The sequence below is a fragment of the Homo sapiens genome, chromosome 1, assembly GCF_000001405.40.
Source record: "Homo sapiens chromosome 1, GRCh38.p14 Primary Assembly".
In the NCBI taxonomy this organism is placed as follows: domain Eukaryota; kingdom Metazoa; phylum Chordata; class Mammalia; order Primates; family Hominidae; genus Homo; species Homo sapiens.
In genome coordinates, this window is record NC_000001.11 from 89363047 (window position 1) to 89388493 (window position 25447).

Sequence of the window (25447 nt, forward strand, 5' to 3'; positions counted from 1 at the left end):
AGAGTCTTTCTCCTTTTCTCACTCAGATGTTTCTCCAAGCTGTGAAAGGGTGTCTATTTTGCCCAAGGGCAGCTTGTGAATTCAAAATAGTTAAAGTCCCTGGGGATAAGACTCAACCAATGGAAACTGTGGGTTGTTGGATAAATAGTCCACATCAAGGGTCCCAAACCCCCAGAGCATGGTCTGTTAGAAACTGGGCCACACAGGAGGTGAGTAGGGAGAGAGCACTAAGGCCTGAGACCTGCCTCCTGTCAGATCAGCAGCAGCATTAGATTCTCATAGGAGCTTGTACACTGTTATGCACTGCACATTCCACCTTCTATGTCCATGTATGCAGATTTTTTAGCTTCCACTTATGAGTAAGAATGTGGTATTTGACTTTCGGTTTCTGAGTTGTTTCACCTAAGATAATGAACTCCAGTTCCATCCATGTTGCTGTAAAAGACATGGTTCATTCTTTTTTTAAACCAGTAATATCTTTAGCTCTCTCTCTTTCTCTCTCTCTCTTCTGTGTGTGTGTGTGCATGTGTGAACACATTTAAAATATCAAAAGTTCTTCACTAACAAAAGACCCCAGAACTCAAGAATTCCCACTAAGAGAAAAATGCTTAAAATATTCTTGGTTTCTAAGGCTTTGCTTATGTGACTACTGTAGATTTCCTGTTTTTCTTGTGTGCCTAGGAAACTAAAGCCACCTGGGAACGGTATCAAGAAGAAAGCCTGTGAAGCCTTCTAAGATGGGAAAGACAAAAGAAAGCTGGCAGGATTGTGCTTGCTAAGGTGTGACTGTGCAGTATCTGTGGCTTTTTCTGACCTCCTCCCACCCCTGCACCCAACACCCATCCTCAAACTCACATCGGATGATTCAGGCATGGCTCTGCTAACACTTTATTAAAAGCATGGATTAATTTTACTTCCAAGTTTATTTTTACTGCACCATCCCATTTGTGGAAACAACTAGCTTACTCAGCTTTTTTTTCCTTTTATAAAGGAAAGAACAGAAAAGTAAAAGGAGGAAAGAAAACAAGAGGTGAGTGAGGCAACTGAAAACTGTTCTTGGACCTGCGGTGCTATAGAGCAGGTATGTTCACTTTCTTTTAAATGCAACTTAGTTCCTAACTCAAGACTTGGTTTCTGATTCAGAGTGGTAACTGAGGAATGGGCAGGAAGGGCAGGGTGCCTGCTGCCTGGCCTGCAGGAGTCTGTGGCTGGCTTTAGTTCTGGGGAAGCTCAGCTTCTCCACTTGAACCAGTGACAGCCGGGCACGCCGCGTCCCCCTGGATGTGCTGTTCCCTGATCATCAACTCAGGACAGCAGTGAGTGGCCTGGAATGAGCCCTGGTGGGCGCCTGCCTGGCTATCTCTCTCAGGTCCTGCGGCAAGCCCCAGAATGCAGAGAACAAGGAGCTTCCAGGCAATTATACCGGAAGGGAGAGTTTCTTGTCTATCTTTCTAGTGGTCACACTTAGGAAAGCTTCAGAATAAGAGCTCTATAAATCTCTATGTAGAAATAAACTTAGGCCCCACATCACTGGTCTTTATTACTTAAAAATAATTATATAGTCCAAACTCTGTGTGTGCGTGTGTGTGTGTGTGTGTGTATGTGTGTGTGGGGAGGGGGTGGGGGAGGAGGGGGGTGTTAGTTTCCCATAGGAACATCAGAGTCTCTTGTAGCTCTTGCTAAACAGATGGATACTTAGGCCTGGGAATCTGGGTTTGAACAATCCTCTCAGTTGATTCTTTAAAAAAAAAAAAGATGAAGAATAGACACTATGTTTAAAATAAAAAAGATTTTTTTAAAAACCACCATGTCCCATGGTGGTTTGCTGCACCTATCAATCCGTCATCTAGGTTTTAAGCCCCGCATGCATTAGGTATTTGTCCTAATGCTCTCCCTCCCCTTGCCCTCCACCCACTGACAGGCCCCAGTGTGTGAGTTTCCCACCCCCACCCCCAGCGCCAACCCCCCGCCGCCCGTGTCCACATGTTCTCATTGTTCAACTCCCACTTACCAGTTAGAACACGCAGTTTTTGGTTTTCTGTTCCTGTGTTAGTTTGCTGAGAATGGGATCTAATTAAAGAGCTTCTGCACAGCAAAAGAAACTATCATCAGAGTGATCAGGTGATTCTTATGTACATCAGAGTGTGAAAACCAGTCCTGAATAGGATTGAACAGCTGTATTTCATTTAGTAGAAGTTAAAAGGTCTGTGGTTCCCACACAGCTAAGAAACCAGAGACCTGGTTTATATAAAGTTGTTTGCAGGAGCAGCCACATCTTCCTAGAGCTGCCTTTATTGTTCACTTTAAAGAAGGGACTGTACAGTTGCAGTCACTGTAATGTGATGAACACGTTACACATCACATTACAATGCATTTCACTGTGGAAATCAGGACCTCGTGTTTGATCTCCATTTTCCTTACTCCCCTCAGTGAAGAATCAGACAAGAGCAGGTTGTACAGCAACAGCGTGCTTGAACTTTACAGTTTTGCTTCCGTGAAAAATTTATTTGTAGTTTTTGTTTCTTAGTAACTTATAGTTTGTATATTTTGTTGAAATATATAATCTAATGGACCAATTGTTATTGTAATTATTGTAGTAACCTCCATTTAATTCAACATTTACTGAAATCCTATTGTGTGGTGCATGCTATGCAAAGATATAAACTTATAATGTCTCGTTTTATTATCAAAACACCCTCCAGGTTGGATGTATGATTTAACTCACAGACCCCTATAATTAACAGGCTCAGCTAGCTTGACCTCCTTGGTCAAGGCCACATAAGTAGTGAATGATAGAGCTGGTATTTTTGGTGGCATTAGATGCATCTTGAGTGTCTGACATATCAATTCTAAACTGAGTATTTGAGGCATTTGAAGACAATATTATGTTTACATTTTTCTAATTATAAGGAAATACAGGTATCATAGAAAACCATTTTAATATAATGGCAATAAAAATGTGCCAGGAGACCTACAGAATAATTGTACTTTCAATACTAAATTTATGGAATTAAACTTCACCTCTAAAAATATTACAATTAAATCCCATATGCCTTTCACCTCGATTCACCCAAAAGTGACATTGACTTTATCTCTCAAAAAGAAATCTCTCTAACTTATCTATTAATATGTATGTACATAATTTCTCTCTCTCTCTAGATATCTATAATTTATCTCCATAAATAATATGCAATATTATATGTATTGTTATTCTTATTCTTTTTCTTATTCTTGTCTGTGGGAGTAAATTGCAGAGAACCTGACCCTTCTAGGCTACGTATTTCAGCCTGTACTTGAATTCTTTAGATTCTGGACATTCTCCTGCTTCCCTTTTGGAAAGATAGCCTGTATTCTCTAGAGTTTTCTCATCCCATAGTGGATCCTTTCCCTTCTCCCTTCTATTCCCATCACTCTTCCAAACCTGTAGATAAAAGACAAACATATAAGGTCACACTGATGCATTAGAGAACAAGTTTCAGTATATGATGATCATTAAAAAGTTACTGCAGGTTGTCGATCAAAAACCTTATAGCATAACCACTGTCTTTGAGGTAGGTTATTTTGACAGATAAGTGGTTGCAGTAGCATAACACAGAGGAATAGGTTGCCCGATTATCCAGGCTTTTGTCTTTTACTCTCTTTTTTGTTGGTAAAATATACATAATAAAATTACTATTTTACTAATTAAGAAAATACTTCGGTGACATTAGTTGTGCAGCTATCTCCAGAACTTCATCATTGTAAACTGAGACTCTCTACCTTTAAACAATGATTCTGCATTCCCTCCTCCCCCAGCCCATGGTAGCTACACTTCTACTTTCTGTCTCAATGTATCTGATTATTCTAGTACCTCATACAATATTTGTTCTTTTGCGCCTGGCATATTTCACTTGGCATAATGTCTTCAAGGTGATCCATGTTGTAGCATGTGTCATAATTTCCTACATTTTTATGGCTGAATAATAGCTGATTGTAGGTATATACAACATTTTGTTCATCTATTCATCTGTTTAGAGTCATTTGAGCTGTTTTCATCTTTTGGCTATTGTGCATAATGCTGCCATAAACATTGATGTACAAATATCTGTGTGAGTCCCTGCCTTTAATTTTTTGGAGTGTATATGTAGAAGTAGAATAGCTTGATCAAATGTTAATTGTATGTTTGGTTTTCCAAGGGACCATCATACTGTTTTCATAGTGACAGTACCAGTTTGCATTCCATGAACAGTGCACACAGGTTCCAAATCCTCAACATCCTAGCTAACACCTGTTTTCAGTTTTGAAGTTTTGGGCTTTTTAAAAAAAATAACAGTCCTAATGGGTGGGTCTAACATGTACCTCATTGTAGTTTTGATTTTCATTTACCTAGTGATTAATGATGTTGAGCATGTTTTCATGTGCTTATTGGCCATTTCTTCTTTGGATAAACGTCTAGTCTACTCTATCCATTTTTGAATTTTTATTTTTGGCTATTGTTGCTATTGAGTTTTAGGAGTTCTTTATGTGTTCTATCAGAAACATGATTTGCAAATATTTTCTCCCTTTCCATAGATTGCCTTTTTACTCTGTTGATAGTGTTCTTTGATGCACAAAAGTTTTTAATTATGATGAAGTGTGGTGTATCTAATTTTTTTCACTTGTTTCCAGTGGTTTTGATATCATACACAAGAAATCATTGTGTATGACATACCAGAAATCCAAGGTAGGCAGAACAGAAACCAGAACAGGTAGCTCCCAGTCAGGTTAGTGTGTTACAAATAAGGTCTTCTTTGCTCCCTCCACTTCAAGGGAGAGAACTGGGAAGTGAAAAACCACCTCCTCCAAACTAAGACTATGTCACTGAGTGGAGTGGGCAGAACTGGCAAACAAAATGCCATGAAATCGCCTACCATTTTGAATATGCCTTTTAAAAATATTGGACATTTGCCTGGTTGCTATAGACTTATGACTGTTTTCCAGAGCTCCTATAAGATCATTTTAGCCATTTTTTTAAAGTTGTTTTGTGATGTCTCCAAGGAGAGAAAGACTTAGAACTTCCTAGCCTGCTATTTTAATCAATTGTCCAGGTTTGTAAGCCGGGTTCTATGATTTCTGCATTCATCCTTTGTAAGACTCGTGATATCATTTGTGTATTTGTGGCTATAATAATCTACAACTTGCAGATTTTTGTGTCAGTGGGGTTGGATACTTAAGGCATGCATCACAGGACTTGGAGTATTAGTGGGCCCCCTATTATGGTAACAATTACTTGGATTTTAATAGTACTACTGAAGTAAAACTTTAAAGAAGATAATGTTCCATGTTTCATCACTTAATATCATTACAGACTTGGGAGAGTGATAAAAGAAGCCTTGTGCAGTCAGCTAATGCTAGATTACATGTTGTCCAGTAGAAACACAGAAGTCTCATTAGTCCTATGTTGATGGGTGCTTGGGAAACACTGAGACAGAGAATGACAATGTAACGTTATTTCTACTGGGAGGCTCTTCTAGGTTGGCAGTTGCCATGGAATCTGGACCCAAAATGTTGGCCCCCGTTTGCCTGGTGGAAAATAACAATGAGCAGCTATTGGTGAACCAGCAAGCTATACAGATTCTTGAAAAGATTTCTCAGCCAGTGGTGGTGGTGGCCATTGTAGGACTGTACCGTACAGGGAAATCCTACTTGATGAACCATCTGGCAGGACAGAATCATGGTAAGTGGTATCCTGGGACACAGGCCAGTTGCTTGATTCCAGCTATATCTCAGCTTCTTGATTCTCTACCCCAGAGCACATGAAGGTAGACTCCAATTCCTTTCAATAAACCAACCTTCTCATTCCAATTCTTACCACCAAACCACTACCTTACGATAATCCATTCTCATATTTTTTCCCTCATTCCCATTAAGGAAACTCTACATTACTAGTGCCCAGAATCCTACCTTCCCTTGTGTATTCAAGTCCTGGGCTCCTGTAATTGTGTCTCCTTTGTCTTATAACATATTTTGCTTTCCTCATGTAATATTCCCATCAACATACAAAGATGTTTTAATCTATGTAATCTTGAAAACGCTTCCTGAATTCCACATCCCATGTGGCCACCAACTTCTGTTTTGTTTTTGTGTTTGTTTTAGTTTTTAATCACTTTTCAATGCAAAAAAAGATCTCAATTTCCCTTTTTGAGTTTTTTCCTTCTCGTGTCTTTCTTCAACCCACTCTTCTCTGACTTTGAACCCCACCACTTTTCAAGATGTTCCTGTTATCAGTGACCTCCTCTTTGTCTGATTCATAGATTTCTCTTTGTCTCCATTTTGAGCCGTTACTTGGCATCATTCTCACATTTAATGTCCCTCGCTTTTTTATATAGATTATTCACAAAGTAAGCCATTCTTGAGGAAATACAGAAAGGACCATCATGTATGTTGGGGTAGTTACAATCCAACCAGTCTGATGCTGTGGCCCCAGGGCGGCTTGGCTGCTCTGCTGTCCCTGTGCTTAGCTTCCTCCTCTTCCCTGCAGGCTTCCCTCTGGGCTCCACGGTGCAGTCTGAAACCAAGGGCATCTGGATGTGGTGCGTGCCCCACCCATCCAAGCCAAACCACACCCTGGTCCTTCTGGACACCGAAGGTCTGGGCGATGTGGAAAAGGTAAGACAGAGAGTCATAGACAGGTTCCTTTTATTCCAGACGTGATCCTTGTAATTAAACTGTTGTGATCTATTTGTGCAAACTAGAAATCCAACTATAGCAAATAAGGCAAACTTTGACCTGTTTGAATCACACTTCTAGACAAGGTTAGATATCATGGTATATTAGGTAAAACATTCTTTTATTTCTTGGCACAGTGGTGAATGATTTGATTCAATTTGATAAAAGGTTGTTAAGCAGTTGAGTTCCAGGCCTTGGGGCTGAGTAGCATAGACATTGGTGAACAAAGTAAAGGTCCTGCCCACAAAGAGCCTTCAGGATGTAGTGTGACTGGGAAAGAAGCAGGTTGCTGAGAGGGAGGAGATGGGAATGCAATGCAATCCCTGCCCTCTGTCAATTCCATAGGGAACTCTGTGGCTGGAATGGCCCTTTTGAGTTATCATGTTTTGGGACAAGGGTGCTAGGCCTTCATCCCTGGTGCTGGTCAATCACTGGAAGTCTGCCCTGGAAAACTTTCTCATTAAGAGAGCTGACACCTGTGATCCAGGCAGCACCTCACAGCTTTCACCACATACAGTTGTGTATAACAGTGCTTTGATAAGAAAGAGAAGAGGTATTGACTCCAATCTCAGGAGATGAGGAGAGGCCTCTCACCCACCTTCTGAGCTACCATGTGAAGAGTACATTTGAGGGTTGGAATTAGGAGAGTTCAGTTTATATTTCTCATGATGAAGCTCATCAATTACCCACAGAGCATTCTGGAAGGCTTTGAGACATTTCTGATTGTGCTCATCATAAAAAAGTATTTGTTCTTCCTACAATAAACATTATAAGATGAATTTTTGATATTTAGCTTCTTATGAATGGGTGAAATAAATAATTTCTCTCTTTTATTATCTTACTTTGAGAGTTATTTGGGAATGGGTTCTAAATTTCTATACACTTTATTTTTGCCCAAACAGGCGTTAGAAATTCTGTTTATTTTTCTGCTTTAGTGTTGTATAATTGACAAATAAAAATTATATATAATTAAGCTGTACAACTTAATGTTTTGGTATGTGTATACACTGTGAAATGATCACCACAATCCAGCCAATAATATAGCTGTTACCTCACATAGTTACCGTTTTCTTTTTTCTATGCTCTCTTTTTATTTTTTGGTGTGGTAAGAACAATTAAGATCTGTCCTCTTAGCGGAAGTGAAGGTCACAATCAATATAGTATTGTTACTTATAGTCACACTGCTGTACGGTAGATCTCCAGAGTTTATTTATCTTTCATAACTGAAATTTTGAACTCTGTCACCAACATTTCTTCATTTCTCGCATCCCCAGCCCCTGGCAACCACTATTATACTCTGCTGCTATGAGTTTAACTATTTGACTATTTTAGATTCCACAAATAGGTGAGATCATGCAGTATTTGTCTTTCTATGTCTGACTTATTTCACTTAGCATAACGACCTCAGTGTTCATCTATGTTGTTGCAAATGACAAAATTCCCTTTTTTGAGATTGAATATATATAGACGGATTCGCAGCTGAATTCTACCAGAGGTACAAGGAGGAGCTGGTACCATTCCTTCTGAAACTATTCCAATCAATAGAAAAAGATGGAATCCTCCCTAACTCATTTTATGAGGCCAGCATCATCCTGATACCAAAGCCTGGCAGAGACACAACAACAAAAAAAGAGAATTTTGGACCAATATCCCTGATGAACATCAATGCAAAAATCCTCAATAAAATACTGGCAAACCGAATCCAGCAGCACATCAAAAAGCTTATCCACCATGATCAAGTGGGCTTCATCCCTGGGATGCAAGGCTGGTTCAACATATGCAAATCAATAAACATAATCCAGCATAAAAAGAGAACCAAACACAAAAACCACATGATTATCTCAATAGATGCAGAAAAGGCCTTTGACAAAATCCAACAGCTCTTCATGCTAAAAACTCTCAATAAATTAGGTATTGATGGGACGTATTTCAAAATAATAAGAGCTATTTATGTCAAACCCACAGCCAATATCAGACTGAATGGACAAAAACTGGAAGCATTCCCTTTGAAAACTGGCACAAGACAGGGATGCCCTCTCTCACCACTCCTATTCAACATAGTGTTGGAAGTTCTGGCCAGGGCAATAAGGCAGGAGAAAGAAATAAAGGGTATTCAATTAGGAAAAGAGGAAGTCAAATTGTCCCTGTTTGCAGATGACATGATTGTATATCTAGAAAACCACATCATCTCAGCCCAAAATCTCCTTAAGCTGATAAGCAACTTCAGCAAAGTCTCAGGATACAAAATCAATGTGCAAAAATCACAAGCATTCTTACACACCAATAACAGACAAACAGAGAGCCAAATCATGAATGAACTCCCATTCACAATTGCTTCAAAGAGAATAAAATACCTAGGAATCCAACTTACAAGGGATGTGAAGGACCTCTTCAAGGAGAACTACAAACCACTGTGCAATGAAATAAAAGAGGACACAAACAAATGGAAGAGCATTCCATGCTCATGGATAGGAAGAATCAATATTGTGGAAATGGCCATACGGCCCAAGGTAATTTATAGATTCAATGCCATCCCCATCAAACTACCAATGACTTTCTTCAGAGAATTGGAAAAACTACTTTAAAGTTCATATGGAACCAAAAAAGAGCCCACATTGCCAAGACAGTCCTAAGCCAAAAGAACAAAGTTGGAGGCATCATGCTACCTGACTTCAAACTATACTACAAGGCTACAGTAACCAAAATAGCATGGTACTGGTACAAAAACAGAGATATAGATCAATGGAACAGGACAGAGCTCTCAGAAATAATACCACACATCTACAACCATCTGATCTTTGACAAACCTGACAAGAACAAGAAATAGGGAAAGGATTCCCTATTTGATAAATGGTGCTGGGAAAACTGGCTAGCCATATATAGAAAGCTGAAACTGGATCCCTTCCTTACACCTTATACAAAAATTAATTCAAGATGGATTAAAGACTTAAATGTTAAGCCTAAACCCATAAAAACTCTAGAAGAGAACCTAGGCAATACCATTTAGGACATAGGCATGGGCAAAGACTTCATGTCTAAAACACCAAAAGCAATGGCAACAAAAGCCAAAATTGACAAATGGGATCTAATTAAACTAAAGAGCTTCTGCACAGCAAAAGAAACTACCATCAGAGTGAACAGGCAACCTACAGAATGGGAGAAAATTTTTGCAATTGACTCATCTGACAAAGGGCTAATATCCAGAATCTACAATGAACTCAAACAAATTTACAAGAAAAAAACAAACAACCCCATCAAAAAGTGGGCAAAGGATATGAACAGACACTTCTCAAAAGAAGACATTTATGCACCCAGCAGACACATGAAAAAACGCTCATCATCACTGGCCATCAGAGAAATGCAAATCAAAACCACAATGAGATACCATCTCACACCAATTAGAATGGTGATCATTAAAAAGTCAGGAAGCAACAAGTGCTGGAGAGGATGTGGAGAAATAGGAACACTTTTACACTGTTGGTGGGACCGTAAACTAGTTCAACCATTGTGGAAGACAGTGTGGCGATTCCTCAAGGATCTAGAACTAGAAATACCATTTGACCCAGCCATCTCATTACTGGGTATATACCCAAAGGATTATAGATCATGCTGCTATAAAGACACATGCACATGTATGTTTATTGCGGCACTATTCACAGTAGCAAAGACTTGGAACCAACCCAGATGTCCATCAGTGATAGACTGGATTAAGAAAATGTGGCACATATACACCATGGAATACTATGCAGCCATAAAAAATGATGAGTTCATGTCCTTTGTAGGCACATGGATGAAGCTGGAAACCATCATTCTCAGCAAACTATCACAAGGACAAAAAACCAAACACCACATGTTCTCACTCATAGGTGGGAATTGAACAATGAAAACACTTGGACACAGGGTGGGGAACATCACACACCAGGGCCTGTCGTGAGGTGGCAGGAGCAGGGAGGGATAGCATTAGGAGATATACCTAATGTAAATGATGAGTTAATGGGTGCAGCACACCAACATGGCACATGTATACATATGTAACAAACCTGCATGTTGTGCACATGTACCCTAGAACTTAAAGTATAATAAAAATATATAAATTATATATATATTCAATAAATATATATATGCATGCTATGGATAGTTTGGCTGTGTCCTCACCCAAATCTCATCTTGAATTGTAGTTCCCATAATCCCCGCATGTCGTGGGAGGGACCTGGTGGGAGGTAATTGAATCATGTGGGTGGTTTCCCCATGCTATTCTCGTGATAGTGAGTAAGTTCTCATGAGAGCTGATCATTTTATAAGGGGATTCCCCCTTTACTTGGCTATCATTCTTCTCTCTCCTGCTACCATGTGAAGAAGGATGTGTTTGCTTCCCCTTCCACCATGATTGTAAGTTTCCTGAGGCCTCCCTAGCCATGCTGACCTGTGAGTCAAACCTCTTTCCTGTGTAAATTGTCCAGTCTCGTGTATGTCTTTATTGGGCAGCATGAGAACGGACTAGAGCAATGCACATACATGTACTCTACATTTTCTTTTTCTGTTCATGCATTGATGGACATTCGGGTAGTTTCCATATCTTGGCTATTGTGAATAATGCTGCAATTATTATGGATATATTTAAATATTCATACTTCCATATTTAAATATAAATATAAATATGAAAGTACAGATATCTCGTTAAAATACTGATTTAATTTCATTTGGATTTATACATAAAAGTAAGATTGTTGGATCACATGGTAGTTCTATTTTTAATTTTTTGAGGGACCTCCATACTTTTTCCATAATAGCTGCATGAATTTACACTCCAAAAAACAGCAAATGTTCTCTTATTTTATATTCTTGCCGACAATTGTTATTTTTAACTCCTTTGGTAATAGCCATCTTAAATGTGTCAGGTGATATCTTATTTTTGTTTTAATTTGCATTTCCTTGATAATTAGCTATTTTGTACACCTTTATATATACATATTAGCCATTTGTACGTCTTCTTTTGAGAAATGTGTATTCAGGTTCTTTACTCATTTTTTTACTGTTTATTTTAACTTCAGCGGTACATGTGCAAGATGTGCAGGTTTGTTACATAGATAAACATATGTCATGGGGGTTGGTTGTACAGGTTATTTTATCACCCAGGTATTAAGCCTAGTATCCATTAGTTATTTTTCCTGCTTCTCTCCCTCTTCCCCTCCCACACCCTCCCCTAATCCCCAGTGTGTGTTGTTCCCCTCTATATGTCCGTATGTTCTTATCATTTAGTTCCCACTTACAAGTGAGAACATGCAGTGTTTGGTTTTCTGTTCCTGCATTAGTTTGCTAAGGATAATGCCCTCCAGGCCCATCCATGTCCTTGAAAAGGACATGATTTTGTTCTTCTTTACAGCTGCATAGTATTTTATTGTGTTTATGTACCACATTTTATGTATCCAGTCTATCATTGATGGGCATTTAGGTTGATTCCATGTCTTTGCTATTATGAACAGTGCTGTAATGAAAGCAAGACATACATGTGGCCAACAATCATATGAAAAAAAAGCTCGACATCACTGATCATTACAGAAATCCAAATGGAAACCACAGTAAGATACCATCTCACACCAGTCAGAATAGGGTATTAATAAAAAGTCAAAAAATTACAGATACTGGTGAGGCTGTGGGCTTTTACACCATTAGTGGAAGTGTAAATTAGTTCAACCATTGTGGAAGACAGTATGGCAATTCCTCAGAGAGCTAAAGACAGAACTACCATTCAACCTAGCAATCCCATTACTGGGTATACACCCAAAGGAACGCAAATCATTCTATTATAAAGACACATGCATGCATAAGTTATTGCAGCACCTTTGCTCATTTTTAATGAGGTATAAGGATTTTTTTTTGCTATTGAGTTATATAAGTTCCTCATGTATTTTGGATATTAGCCCCTTATCAAATATATGGTTTGCAAATATTTTTCTCCTATTCCATTGGTTGCATTTTCACTCCGCTGATTGTTTCCTTTGTTACCTGAAGCATTTTAATTTGACGCAGTCTCACTTGTCTAATTTTGCTTTTGTCACCTGTGCTTTCGGTGTCATATCCAAAAACATCATTGCCCAAACCAATGTCAAGTTTTTTCCTTGTATATTCTTCTGGTATTTTTACGGCTTCATATCTTTTTTTTCCCCTTCTATCTAACTAAAATTTTGTATCCTTTGACTAACATTTTCCAACCTTCCTGTTCCCCTCTCCACTAGCCCCTCGTAACCATCATTCTACTTTCTACTGCTATGAGTTCAACTCTTTTAGATTTCACATATAAGTAAAATCATGCAGTGTTTGTCTTTCTGTGCCTGGCTTATTTAACTTAGCTTAACATCCTCTAGATTCCTCCAGGTTGTTGCCAATGACAGGATTTCCTTCTTTTTGAAGGCTTAATAGTATTTCATTGTGTATAGATTTCACATTTTTTAAAATTCATTCATCTGTTAATGGAAACAGATTGACTCCATGCCTTGGCTATTGTGAATAGTACAGCAATAAATATAAAAGAACAGATATCTCTTTGACATAGTCATTTCATTTTCCTTGGATATATACACAGCAGTGGGATTTCTGGATCCAGTTTCTGGTTTTCCATTTAAGTCTTTAATCCATTTTCAGTTGTTTTTGTGTATGGTGTGCAATAGGATCAAATATTGCTCTTCTGCATACATGTGGATATCTGTTTTCCCAGCACCATTTATTGAGGGGACCATCCTTTCTTCAATATAAGTTCTCAGCACATTAGTCAAAAATGAGTTCGCTGTGGATGTATACATTTATTTCTGCATTGTCTAGTCTGTTCCATTGATCTATATGTCTGTTTTTATGCCAGCATCATACTATTTTGACTACTGTGGCTTTGCAATATATATTGAAATCAAGAAATATGATGCCCCCAGCTTTGTTCTTCTGGTTCAAGATTACTTTGATTATTCAGAGCATTTTGCGATTCTGTATTAATTTTAGGATTTTTTTATATTTATTTAAGAATATTATTGGGGCCAGGTTGAGACAGCGGAGGTGGCTTGAGGCTAGGAGTTAGAAACCACTGTGGGCAACATAGTGAAAGCCCATCTCCACAAAAAAGAATAATAATAAACAAAATGTCTTTGGGATTTTTATAGAAACTTTAAAGTCGTCTATCAAACAGTGATATACTCCTGTCTAAATAGTTTATTGTTTGTCACGAGTCCCACTTCTAAGAAGAATCCTCATTGATTACTTTTTTAAAAATTAAGGAGTGGGGGACATAAAAAAATGAATAGGCTATTCTTCCTACCTCCAAAATCCCATATAGAATCTCCTGGAATTATGTAGAAATCTCTAGATCTCAGTTTTTATATTTGCTTTAGGAACCAGTTACACATGCTTTTTAGGATAGAAATAATTCCTGGACTATGTATAATTTAGACATGCTATAGTTTATAAAAACAAATTTAGCCTGACCTTTAGTGTCCTTAATCAACCAGGTACTGGAGCTCCCTATTCAGTCTTATCTTCTGCACTTACCCTCTGCTCAGTCAGGCCAATAAACTCTATTCTTATTGCAAAGACTCCTGAAATCTACAATCTCTAATTTTGTTTCTGTGGGTCTTTCTACTTGCAGAATCACCTTCATTTCTTCAAATCCACATTCTATCGATTTTTTAACATTCAGCTCGTGACTTCCAGGAAACCCTCATATCACATACACTCTTCAATTTTCATAGCTCTTATCTTCCTGGATAGACTTGTAATTTTTAATTTAACATTATAGCTATGGGTTCCACTTCTTATGTACATTACTAAGATGTTATCTATAAATATTGCCATTTTTATTGAATTCATCATTATGAAAGTTTGTCACAGCTTTGAAATAGTCATCATGACAGTAAATTTATTAAATTTGCTTTTCTAAACATAAGAACAGTGAGAAACATTCTTCAGTTTCCTATAAGTGTTTGCTGAATTTAATTGAATATAATTACAATCCCCAGTTATGCATACTATGGTATGGTTTTTATATGTGATGCATGGCCAATAAATATGTGTAGACTGAAGAAGTGTTAACACTCATCATGAATATCCAACTGAAAACCAGATATTGTACTAGTTTTTCCATATATGCATCTTATTTCATCCAACTGAGGAAAAGAAAAACCCTATGAAGATTAGAATCCTTTTATATGTAAAGAAATTGTGATTAGAAGACATATTGTAACAAACTGTTGTTTACATTCATGTCTATGTTCTTTGTACAGCAAGTACATTAGCTGAAATCATAAGTGAAAGACTGACAAAATAAATGTCTCAGTGAATTTCTAAAGACTACACTCCTAAGTCCTTTGCTCTAATGTGCTTTTTAGGGTGACCCTAAGAATGACTCCTGGATCTTTGCCCTGGCTGTGCTCCTGTGCAGCACCTTTGTCTACAACAGCATGAGCACCATCAACCACCAGGCCCTGGAGCAGCTGCAGTATCCTTCCAGGAACAGAACAGAACCACCAGGTTTCATTGACTTTATAGGAATGGAGATCAAGTCATTTCCTCCTTCCCTTTGATGTAATTACCTGTGGTGCAGCACAGGGAACCCAAGACAAAAGAGAGTGTTTATAATATTTTTATAAAAGAAATGTGTGAATTGTGGGCAGACAGTTGCTTTTCCTTACCTAAGTCCTAGTTATGTGACGGAGCTCACAGAACTAATTAAGGCAAAGTCCTCCCCAAGGCCTGATGGAGTAGAAGATTCCACAGAGTTTGTGAGTTTCTTCCCAGACTTTCTTTGGACAGTACGGGATTTCACTCTGGAGCTGAAGTTGAACGGTCACCCTATCACAGAAGATGAATACCTGGAGAATGCCTTGAAGCTGATTCAAGGTATCAGAATGTGGCCTGGGCTGTGGGTGGTCCACTGGGTGTGTGATCTGCTAAACACTGCCCATCATCTCTGGGGTTTCATTTGTATTTGAGACTAGATTGAGGTCTGTAGAAACGGGGACTGAGGGGTATGTTGAAGAGCTCTAGGAATGGAGCCTAGTTCACTTAAGAAAAGTAGAGTCTAAAGTGCAGATAAATTATTCAAGACAGATTTGTTCTTTGTACAATTAGTACCTCAGCATTCAGATTACAATGGGTGCTAAGACTTTCTAATAACAAGATGCTTGTGATCTGTGTTTTGCCCTCTGCTTTTCTGTGTTTAGAAAATGATTGACCAGATAATTGTTAGACATGAAATTACAATGAAAAGCCTATCTAATAAAAATATAAATGTGTGTGTTAGTCCATTTTGCATTGCTATAAAGGAATGCCTGAGCCTGGGTAATTTATAAAGAAAAGAAGTTTATTTGGCTCATAGTTCTGCAGGCTGTACAAGCATGGCACCAGCATCTGCTTCTAGTCAGGACCCCAGGAAGCTTTTATTAATGGTGGAAGGTGAAGGGGGCAGCTGGTGTGTCACATGGTGAGAAAGGGAACAACAGAGGGGGGTGGTCTCAGACTTTTAACAACCAGATCTTGTGTGAACTCATTACCACAAGGATGGTAACAAGGTATTCATGAGAAATCTGCCCCTGTGACCCAAACACCTCCCACTAGGCCCACCTCCAACATTGGGGGGGGGGGGTCATATTTCAACATGAGATTTGGAGGGGACACACATCCAAAATACATCAACATGTTACACAGATATTATTCTTCTCATGGAGGGATATAACTTTTCAATATCCATATAGTTATATCATCTACAAAAATGATTTTGTTTTCTAAAGCAACCTGAAGAAGCACGTCTTTACAATCTGTGCCTTTTCAAAATTTCTGATAATTGTCGGAATATTCATTTTACTTTCTATGTTATGATTTTTCTCTTAAACCCAACATATGTATCCATGCTAGAATTTCATAATAATTGTTTTAATGGGTTACATTTATCTGAGTGTGTATCTGATAAAACCTTATGAGAAATATCAATTCCAGTGAACTCGTTGTTGCTTTCATTTTTCTATTTATGCTTTCTTGAAACATTTCTTAAAAATTCATAGGCAGAAGAGCAATACTGTCAAATCGAATACAGTCTTTTAAGAGTTTATAAAGAAGTGATGATTATCTTAAAACTACCTTCTTGGCTGGGCAAGGTGACTTGCACCTGTAGTGTCAGCACTTTGGAAGGAAGAGGTGAAAGGATTATTTGAGCTCAGGAGTTTGAGACCAGACTGGGCAACATAGTGAGACCCTGTCTCTATAAAAACTAGAACAAATCAGCTGGTGTCATGGTGCACACCTGTAGTCTCAACTACTAAAGAGGCTAAGGTGGAAGGATCACTTGAGCCTAGGAAATCAAGGATGCAGTAAGCCGTGATTGTGCCACTGCCCTCTAGCCTGGGCAATAGAGCAAGACCTCGTTTCGAAAAAACAAAACAATACAAGATTATATTCTTGTTACATTTAGTCTTCAGAGGATTTTACTAAAAAATAGCTAACATTATACAAATTCTTTTAGCATCAATGTGCACAGAAGTATTTAATTTTTATGTTAAAGGAGGTCTGTAAGCATAGAAGATGGCAAAAAGACAATACACCCTATCAAAAATACCTTTAGCTCCCTTATACCAAGACTGTTTTCACTATATTCTCTGTTTTTTTTTATCCCTCAGGCAATAATCCCAGAGTTCAAACATCCAATTTTCCCAGGGAGTGCATCAGGCGTTTCTTTCCAAAACGGAAGTGTTTCGTCTTTGACCGGCCAACAAATGACAAAGACCTTCTAGCCAATATTGAGAAGGTGTCAGAAAAGCAACTGGATCCCAAATTCCAGGAACAAACAAACATTTTCTGTTCTTACATCTTCACTCATGCAAGAACCAAGACCCTCAGGGAGGGAATCACAGTCACTGGGAATCGTGAGTCTCCTTTTTACTTTTCTGTGGGGCCTCATGTGTGTTGAATATATTGTATAATGTGTTTCTCAGAATTTTTGTTAGATTCCATATAGAAAAACTACGTGTATACAGGTATTCACACTCAGTGAAGAAATGTGTATAATTATCACACTTATTGCAATTTACAAATTCCTCTCCAATATTGCAAACTCTGTCACTGATATCTGTGGCTTCCACATATCTGAAAAAAATCCCCCACTGATAAAATAACTAACTGAATATAAAAACATCTATAATATTTTCTTAGGGGAAATATTTTCTAAGTCCTATGTGTTCAGTATTCTTTGCCAAGAGAATAGAAAAGATATGTTCAAGTTTAAAAACCTCTAGAAGGCTGAGGGTGGTGGTTCACACCTGTAATCCCAGTACTTTGGGAGGCAGAGGCACGCAGATCGCTTGAGCTCAGGAGTTTGAGACCAGCCTGAACAACATGGTGAAACCCCATCTCTACAAAAAATACAAAAACTAGCTAGTCATGGTGGCACATACTTGTATTCCCAGCTACTTAGGAGGCTGAGGCAGGAGAATCACTTGAGTCTGGGAGGCGGAGGTTGTAGTGAGCCGAGATCACACCACTGCACTCCAGCCTGGGCCTCAAAAAAAAAAAAAAAAAAAAAAGTCTAGAAATAAATAAATATTAGCCCATAATTCCCTGAAAATACATTGGTAGCTTCAGAATTAGGAATAAATGTGATATGATTTACCCTGCCTCATTTTATCTGTGTAAACTACTTTTCTTGTAATTTTTTAAATGAGAAATTGTACTTCCTGCATACCCTCTAGTATGTTAGATACAAGTAGATATTTAAATTTTTTAGCACTGTGGACTGGAGATCCATAAAATTGAAGAGTCATTATGAAAATAAGAGTGATAATAGCAGAAGGAGGTAGGGATGTGGGTGTATGTGTTTGCATGTGTGCACGCGCGTGTATGTAAGTGCATGTGTGTGCTCAGAAATGTAGCCTAGGATCCCACTGAGCTTTAATTTCATATTTAGCCCCTAAATCTCCTGGTTCATTTAGGTCTGGGAACTCTGGCAGTGACTTATGTAGAGGCCATCAACAGTGGAGCAGTGCCTTGTCTGGAGAATGCAGTGATAACTCTGGCCCAGCGTGAGAACTCAGCGGCCGTGCAGAGGGCAGCTGACTACTACAGCCAGCAGATGGCCCAGCGAGTGAAGCTCCCCACAGACACGCTCCAGGAGCTGCTGGACATGCATGCGGCCTGTGAGAGGGAAGCCATTGCAATCTTCATGGAGCACTCCTTCAAGGATGAAAATCAGGAATTCCAGAAGAAGTTCATGGTAATTTGCCTTAGTCATTACTGTTCATCATCCTTCCCCTTGAAGAATGAAGCCTATAGTTGCCTTTATTGTCACCAATGCTCATCTGTCACTGAGGAATAACTTATTGTGGATTCTCATGAGGGATAGAGTTTCAAAAGACTACATATAAGCACTTAACTAGAAAATCTTCTGATAACTGAGGTAAAATCAATACAGATCACTTAAGATCCTCAAGTGAACACTTCTAAGGATTCCAGGCCTGCTCTGAACACGCACAAGTCATCCCTGAGCAGTGCACTTTTTCTGTGCATAGTTTACCTTTCCCAGGAAACAAAGATTCTCTTACCAGATCGTAATTCCGGGCCATTGTTCAACTTACATTGCTCCTTCTTGTATCCTTGTACCATTGAGGACAGGAACACAGGATGATACCATTGCAACAAACCATAGAGATTATGGAATGTAGTCTCATCATGTCACAGATAAGGAACCTGAAGCTCAGGAAGATTAATGAACTTTTCCATAGCCTTGAAGAGAATTTCTAGCATTGTAAATGTATGAAGTTTTGTGTTTCTGATTCCACATCTACTCCACTAGAATGTTTTTCTCATGAGGACCACAGTTAGATTGACTCTACCACCAGATTCTTTAGAATTTCATCTCCTCCATGTTTCTTCTGGTGACATCTCTCTACATTTCCCTTGCAGGAAACCACAATGAATAAGAAGGGGGATTTCTTGCTGCAGAATGAAGAGTCATCTGTTCAATACTGCCAGGCTAAACTCAATGAGCTCTCAAAGGGACTAATGGAAAGTATCTCAGCAGGAAGTTTCTCTGTTCCTGGAGGGCACAAGCTCTACATGGAAACAAAGGAAAGGATTGAACAGGACTATTGGCAAGTTCCCAGGAAAGGAGTAAAGGTAAGGAATAAGGGGAGCATGGGGAAGTTTATAGGATAGAGTGAATGGAGTCTTCAGCACCAGCCGTGGGTAATAAGAGAGCAGAGGGATAGCATAACGCCTTAGCTTTCAATGTCCACTAATTAATATTTATTTCTTAGAATAAAAATTTTTATTCCAAAACAAAGAGTATAGTATTCAGAAATCCAGGAGAGACAGAATGAAAATTACCACCTAGGTGGTGGTAATAAACATAATAGTAGTAATAATACAACTAACTCACGAGCTGTTATTACCTACAGTATACTGTTAAATTCTTCCCCAGACATTTTAATTTCATCTTCCTAATGACTTTAAGAAGCACCTTTATTTGGAAATTTTACAGATCTGAACTTAGTACCCAAGGATGATTACATAACTTGCCTAAAGTTCTAGCCAGCAAGTGGCAGGAGAAAGCAACAGCATAGATTAGAGGCAGCATTGCACACTGGAAGACAGACATGTATAAGCATCAGAGATTGGGAGTTTGTACACCTGTGCACATAGTTCTGCCTGGCCGGAACCCAAAACGGGTACAGGGAGATATTACAGCAGTGGGAAAGGCACTGGAGGGAGACAGGAAGCAGGAATTGAGGAGGGGCTCTGGTCACCCTAAAGAGCCCGCACACTTTGTAGGGGGCCACTTTAGAATTTTAGGCATAAAGCAAAAGTTACAAGACCATAATTGTTCTTGCAACACTAATACCCAGAACATAGATTTTCAAAGAAATCTAAGTGCTTTTTCTTCCTTCCATAGGCAAAAGAGGTCTTCCAGAGGTTCCTGGAGTCACAGATGGTGATAGAGGAATCCATCTTGCAGTCAGATAAAGCCCTCACTGATAGAGAGAAGGCAGTAGCAGGTATGGGGCAGGGCTCAGCTTACACAGGAGGGGTACGTTTATACAATGCCCTCTAACAGATCTAACAGGAAAACCTTCCCAAAATGAGGAATTTCCTCTTCTGTGGAACACACACTCTGCTAAATCTTAAAATAACAAGGGGAGCTATGATTGTACATCAGCCAGACAGGCAGAGCCTTTCCCATCACATTCTCAAATGCGCTCTTAATGGTGTGGACCTGGGTGAATTCTGTGATTTCTCACCCTGCCTTTCAGATTTGGTTTAGTCTCAGCTCAGAAAAGTGGAGATGAATCTTCACCTATTATTTTCTTCTCTTTCTAATACCTTCATGGAGCAGTGGATCGGGCCAAGAAGGAGGCAGCTGAGAAGGAACAGGAACTTTTAAAACAGAAATTACAGGAGCAGCAGCAACAGATGGAGGCTCAAGATAAGAGTCGCAAGGAAAACATAGCCCAACTGAAGGAGAAGCTGCAGATGGAGAGAGAACACCTACTGAGAGAGCAGATTATGATGTTGGAGCACACGCAGAAGGTAAGTCTGCCCTTGGCCTCAGCAGGCCAGACGGTCCTCACCCAGGTACCTCAGGAAGGGCTGGTGAAGGTTACAGCAACATCATGAAAGGAAGCACATCACCATTTGCTGCTTGGCAATCACTAAAAGCCCTGAATCCTTTTTTTCTTAATTGTTTCAGTAAGACTTGGAATTCTTCTCTATATTCTCTATACTTAGATTCTGGAGAGGTAAGGTTGACTATGATCCCTACAAGTCCTTGGGGAATATAAATAGGGTCGAAGCTGCTGTTTTGGGAGATTTTAAAAGTAATCTCAAGAAGTTAAACATATGTTCCACACAGTGTATTTGATGTGAACAGCAGCTGGTTTCCTTCACCAAGACCACATATTACCAGGAGCTCTAGTACCATCCAAACACCCTGAGGTAGATCCATGCTGACATACAACTCTTAGAAATTTCCAGACTTAAAAGGACAGGAAAGGGACAGTTTCTAAACTTGCTGCAGTTGTCACCCTGTATAGGTAGCCTGCCCAAATTAGCACACAGTGTAGGGAGAATTCTTGCATTGTCCATCTGAAAGTTCTCTCATAAGGGATTTCTACATCAGCTTATAAGTTTTTGGTATTCCTACAATATGGGTGACCATGCTGCCCAACTGGGACTGAGAATTTATGCAATCAGACCAATGGCTACCTCCTAACTGGCATCTTTTGGGCAGGAACATGTAGAATTTGTCCTCATACCTAGGTTAGCACCATAGCAAAACCATAATGGTGGGTGGATATTAGTAAAGTTATAAACTATGCTTCCTCACAATGTCTAGGTCCAAATTCTCCTCTAATAACTGAGAAAATGTTTTTAGGAGTAAAATAAAGTTTCACACAGGTTTTAAATACAAAATGTAAGTCTTAAAAGAATAGGGATTTTTAAAAATTTACTTTCCTTCCTACATTGTCTTTAGGTCCAAAATGATTGGCTTCATGAAGGATTTAAGAAGAAGTATGAGGAGATGAATGCAGAGATAAGTCAATTTAAACGTATGATTGATACTACAAAAAATGATGATACTCCCTGGATTGCACGAACCTTGGACAACCTTGCCGATGAGCTAACTGCAATATTGTCTGCTCCTGCTAAATTAATTGGTCATGGTGTCAAAGGTGTGAGCTCACTCTTTAAAAAGCATAAGCTCCCCTTTTAAGGATATTATAGATTGTACATATATGCTTTGGACTATTTTTGATCTGTATGTTTTTCATTTTCATTCAGCAAGTTTTTTTTTTTTTTCAGAGTCTTACTCTGTTGCCCAGGCTGGAGTACAGTGGTGCAATCTCAGCTCACTGCAACCTCTGCCTCCTGGGTTCAAGAGATTCACCTGCCTCAGCCCCCTAGTAGCTGGGATTATAGGTGTACACCACCACACCCAGCTAATTTTTGTATTTTTAGTAGAGATGGGGTTTCACTATGTTGGCCAGGCTGGTCTCGAACTCTTGACCTCAAATGATCCACCCGCCTCGGCCTCCCAAAGTGCTGGGTTTACAGGCATGAGCCACCATGCCCAGCCCTCATTTAGCAAAGTTTTAAACATAAAAAGTGCTTATTAGAGGATATCAGTGCCTGGCCCACATGAGAGAACAGATCCATACACACTTTGAAAAACTTTGTTCACTTTTAGGAAATATAATTTTGAAAAATCATTTACATACAAGAGGTCCACTGAGGCATTGCTTTTAATGGCAAAATATTGCAATGTACTTGAATGTCCTTCACATTAGATTGGTAAGATAAATTTTAGTATGTGCATGTACTGGAATATTATATAGCCAGTAAACAAATTGACAATGAAGCTCTATTTGTACCAGTAAAGAATGGTCTTGAAGAGACATTGTAAAATGAAAAAAAAAAAAACCAAGTTGTAAAGCAATGTAGATTATCTTATCAGCATGGAAAAAATGCAATTATTATATGGAAGCATGCAAATATATCTCTGGAAAGATTAATCAAAATCTATTATTATTGGCTCCTTCTGGGAAGAACCAAGTGAATGTAGGGGTTGAAGGAACACATACTCTTCACTTTATACTCTTGAATTTTGTAAAGAAATCTTATTTTACCGATTCAGAAATAAATAAGAAAATGTAAGAGACAATGCTAATAATGATAACAATAAAAAAATAGTGAAATTGGCTATCAGATGATGAAATTCCTTGTTGCTTCTAGGAATTACATCAGCCAGCCCAATGAGGGGTCTAAGACTAAGATCTGAGTACTAGAATGCAAAAAATTTGCATCATATTCTTGTTTTCATTTTGGCCTGGTTTTTCGATCCCTTCTATTTGTTTCGAGACTAAGGCATACACTTTTCTGTGGCCTTTGAAATCTCAGCTACAGTAGCCTCTACTTCCTTTCTCTGAATTCAAGTTTTAAGGTGTTAGAAGCATAAATTACCAAACATTAAGATTAAGCACTGATAGGAAGGATCCTGCCAACCTTGTCAGTAGTGGTCTTTTTGCGGTAGCCTCAGATAGAAAGGACAATGTGCCTTTCCAGAACTGAACCCCCTGATGGGGGATGATAGACCCAGACACATAGAGGCCTGGTGTTGACCCTTAATTGTTAGAATCTAAGAAGATTCAGTTATAGTAATGAGTGGCAGACTGCAAGGCCTGATGGAGATAATTCTGAAGATGGTCAATACAATGGACCAGCCATAGGGTTAAATGGGATGGGGAGAAAACAATCAAGTGAAGTAAATGCTGTCTATCAGGATGTTGAGAGGTAGCCCTGATAAAGTGTCACATCCATAGCCTTGATCTGAGCTAATTTCAGACCCTGAACTCAGTTGGAGTGGAGGGCAGTACCCCAGGAAAGGACACTGCAACTCCAGGACCCAAATAAATGATAATGATTTCCCAAGTTCTCCTCCTAGGAAACGTCTGGAGCCATTTACTAGATATCCATATACTAGGGAAATACAAACACCCAAATATTTCAAGGACCCTTGGAATCAGGATCCAAGTTGCCCATGGTACCTAGATCATGGAGAGTCATCGTAAAATGCCTGTTAAAATAGGGAATTAGGGCCTCCAGGTTGTAATTATAGTCTTGGCACACATGAACTTATTGCAATATAGTATTTGTTTGAAATGTAAAGGTAAAGTTTGTTTGAAGACAGATACCTTATTTTTCTGTACATCTCCTTGGGAGTATGTTCAGGCATAGGTTGTGCTAAATAAGCTTCTTTTATAAAAACAATAGGCTGATGCATGGGTGATTATTTTCAATTGATAAAATATCATGAACTTTCCAGAGATCAGTGGTAATAAGTTGTTTGAATTTTCGACACCAGATTAAGGTCTCTGAGGTGGTTTAAAGGCTATGAGGCCAGGTGCAGTGGCTCACGCCTATAATCTCAGCAACTTGGGAGGCCGAAGCAGGCAGATCACTTGAGGTCAGAAGTTTGAGACCAGCCTGGCCAACATGGCGAAACCCTGCCTTTACTAAAAATACAAAAATTAACCAAGTGTGGTGGCACACGCCTGTCATGCCAGCTACACAGGAGGATGAGGCAGGAAAATCACTTGAACCTGGGAGGTGGAGGTTGCAGTGAGCCGAGATTGTGCCATTGCACTCCAGCCCGGGCAACAGAGCCTGGGCGACAGAGTGAGGCTCTGTCTCAAAAAATTAAACTAAATTAAAGCTATGAGAAGAAAATAAATTTTCCTGGTATAGTGTCCTTCTCTAGACCTCATGTCCTACAGTCTCTGTGAAACTGGGCCAAAGATAGAATTTTTTTTTCTGTGCTTTATACAGTGACTCAGACAAACCTATGACCTCACACAAATCTGTAACTTCATGTATCACAGTCTCTATAAAACTATATCAAAGAAAGAATTTTTCTCTGTGCTTTATAGAGTGGTTCACCCAGATCTGTAAAGAAATGAAGACAATTTTAGAGCTTTCAATATCCTGTATTGCATATCAGGTCAAATCTGATACTTTCAAAACTGGATAGATCTATTTCAGATATCTTTGATGCTTTTAACAAGAATCCCATTCAATGTTATCTAAGGACTATAGTTCAAGAAGACTAAGACACTATTCAGTCGGGGCACAATAAGACCACCTTATAAGCACCACTCATCCTTCCTTTTCTGAGCATGCTTTTGCCATGTTTCAATGATTCAGAGACATTCTAGTGAATCCCATTTTGACAACAAAGTGG

The 25447-nt window shown here is 38.9% G+C and overlaps 1 protein-coding gene across 3 annotated transcripts; it reads left to right on the forward strand.

The window, feature by feature from the left end:
* Window positions 1-1012: 1012 nt before the first annotated feature.
* GBP6 (guanylate binding protein family member 6) lies at window positions 1013-25114 on the forward strand. 3 transcript variants are annotated; one of them, NM_198460.3, is made up of 11 exons: window positions 1013-1081; window positions 5483-5695; window positions 6500-6627; window positions 15057-15166; window positions 15371-15567; window positions 17340-17585; window positions 18648-18928; window positions 19618-19830; window positions 20606-20708; window positions 21047-21240; window positions 22184-25114. In NM_198460.3, exons 2-11 carry the CDS (start codon window positions 5506-5508, stop codon window positions 22421-22423), a joined length of 1902 nt encoding a protein of 633 aa, NP_940862.2. In that variant the 5' UTR covers window positions 1013-1081; window positions 5483-5505; the 3' UTR covers window positions 22424-25114. The 3 variants fall into 3 exon arrangements, with proteins under 3 accessions (NP_940862.2, XP_011539137.1, NP_001307186.1); XM_011540835.4 differs by having other exon boundaries at window positions 5493-5695; NM_001320257.2 differs by lacking the exons at window positions 5483-5695; window positions 6500-6627.
* The last annotated feature ends 333 nt before the right edge of the window (window positions 25115-25447 follow it).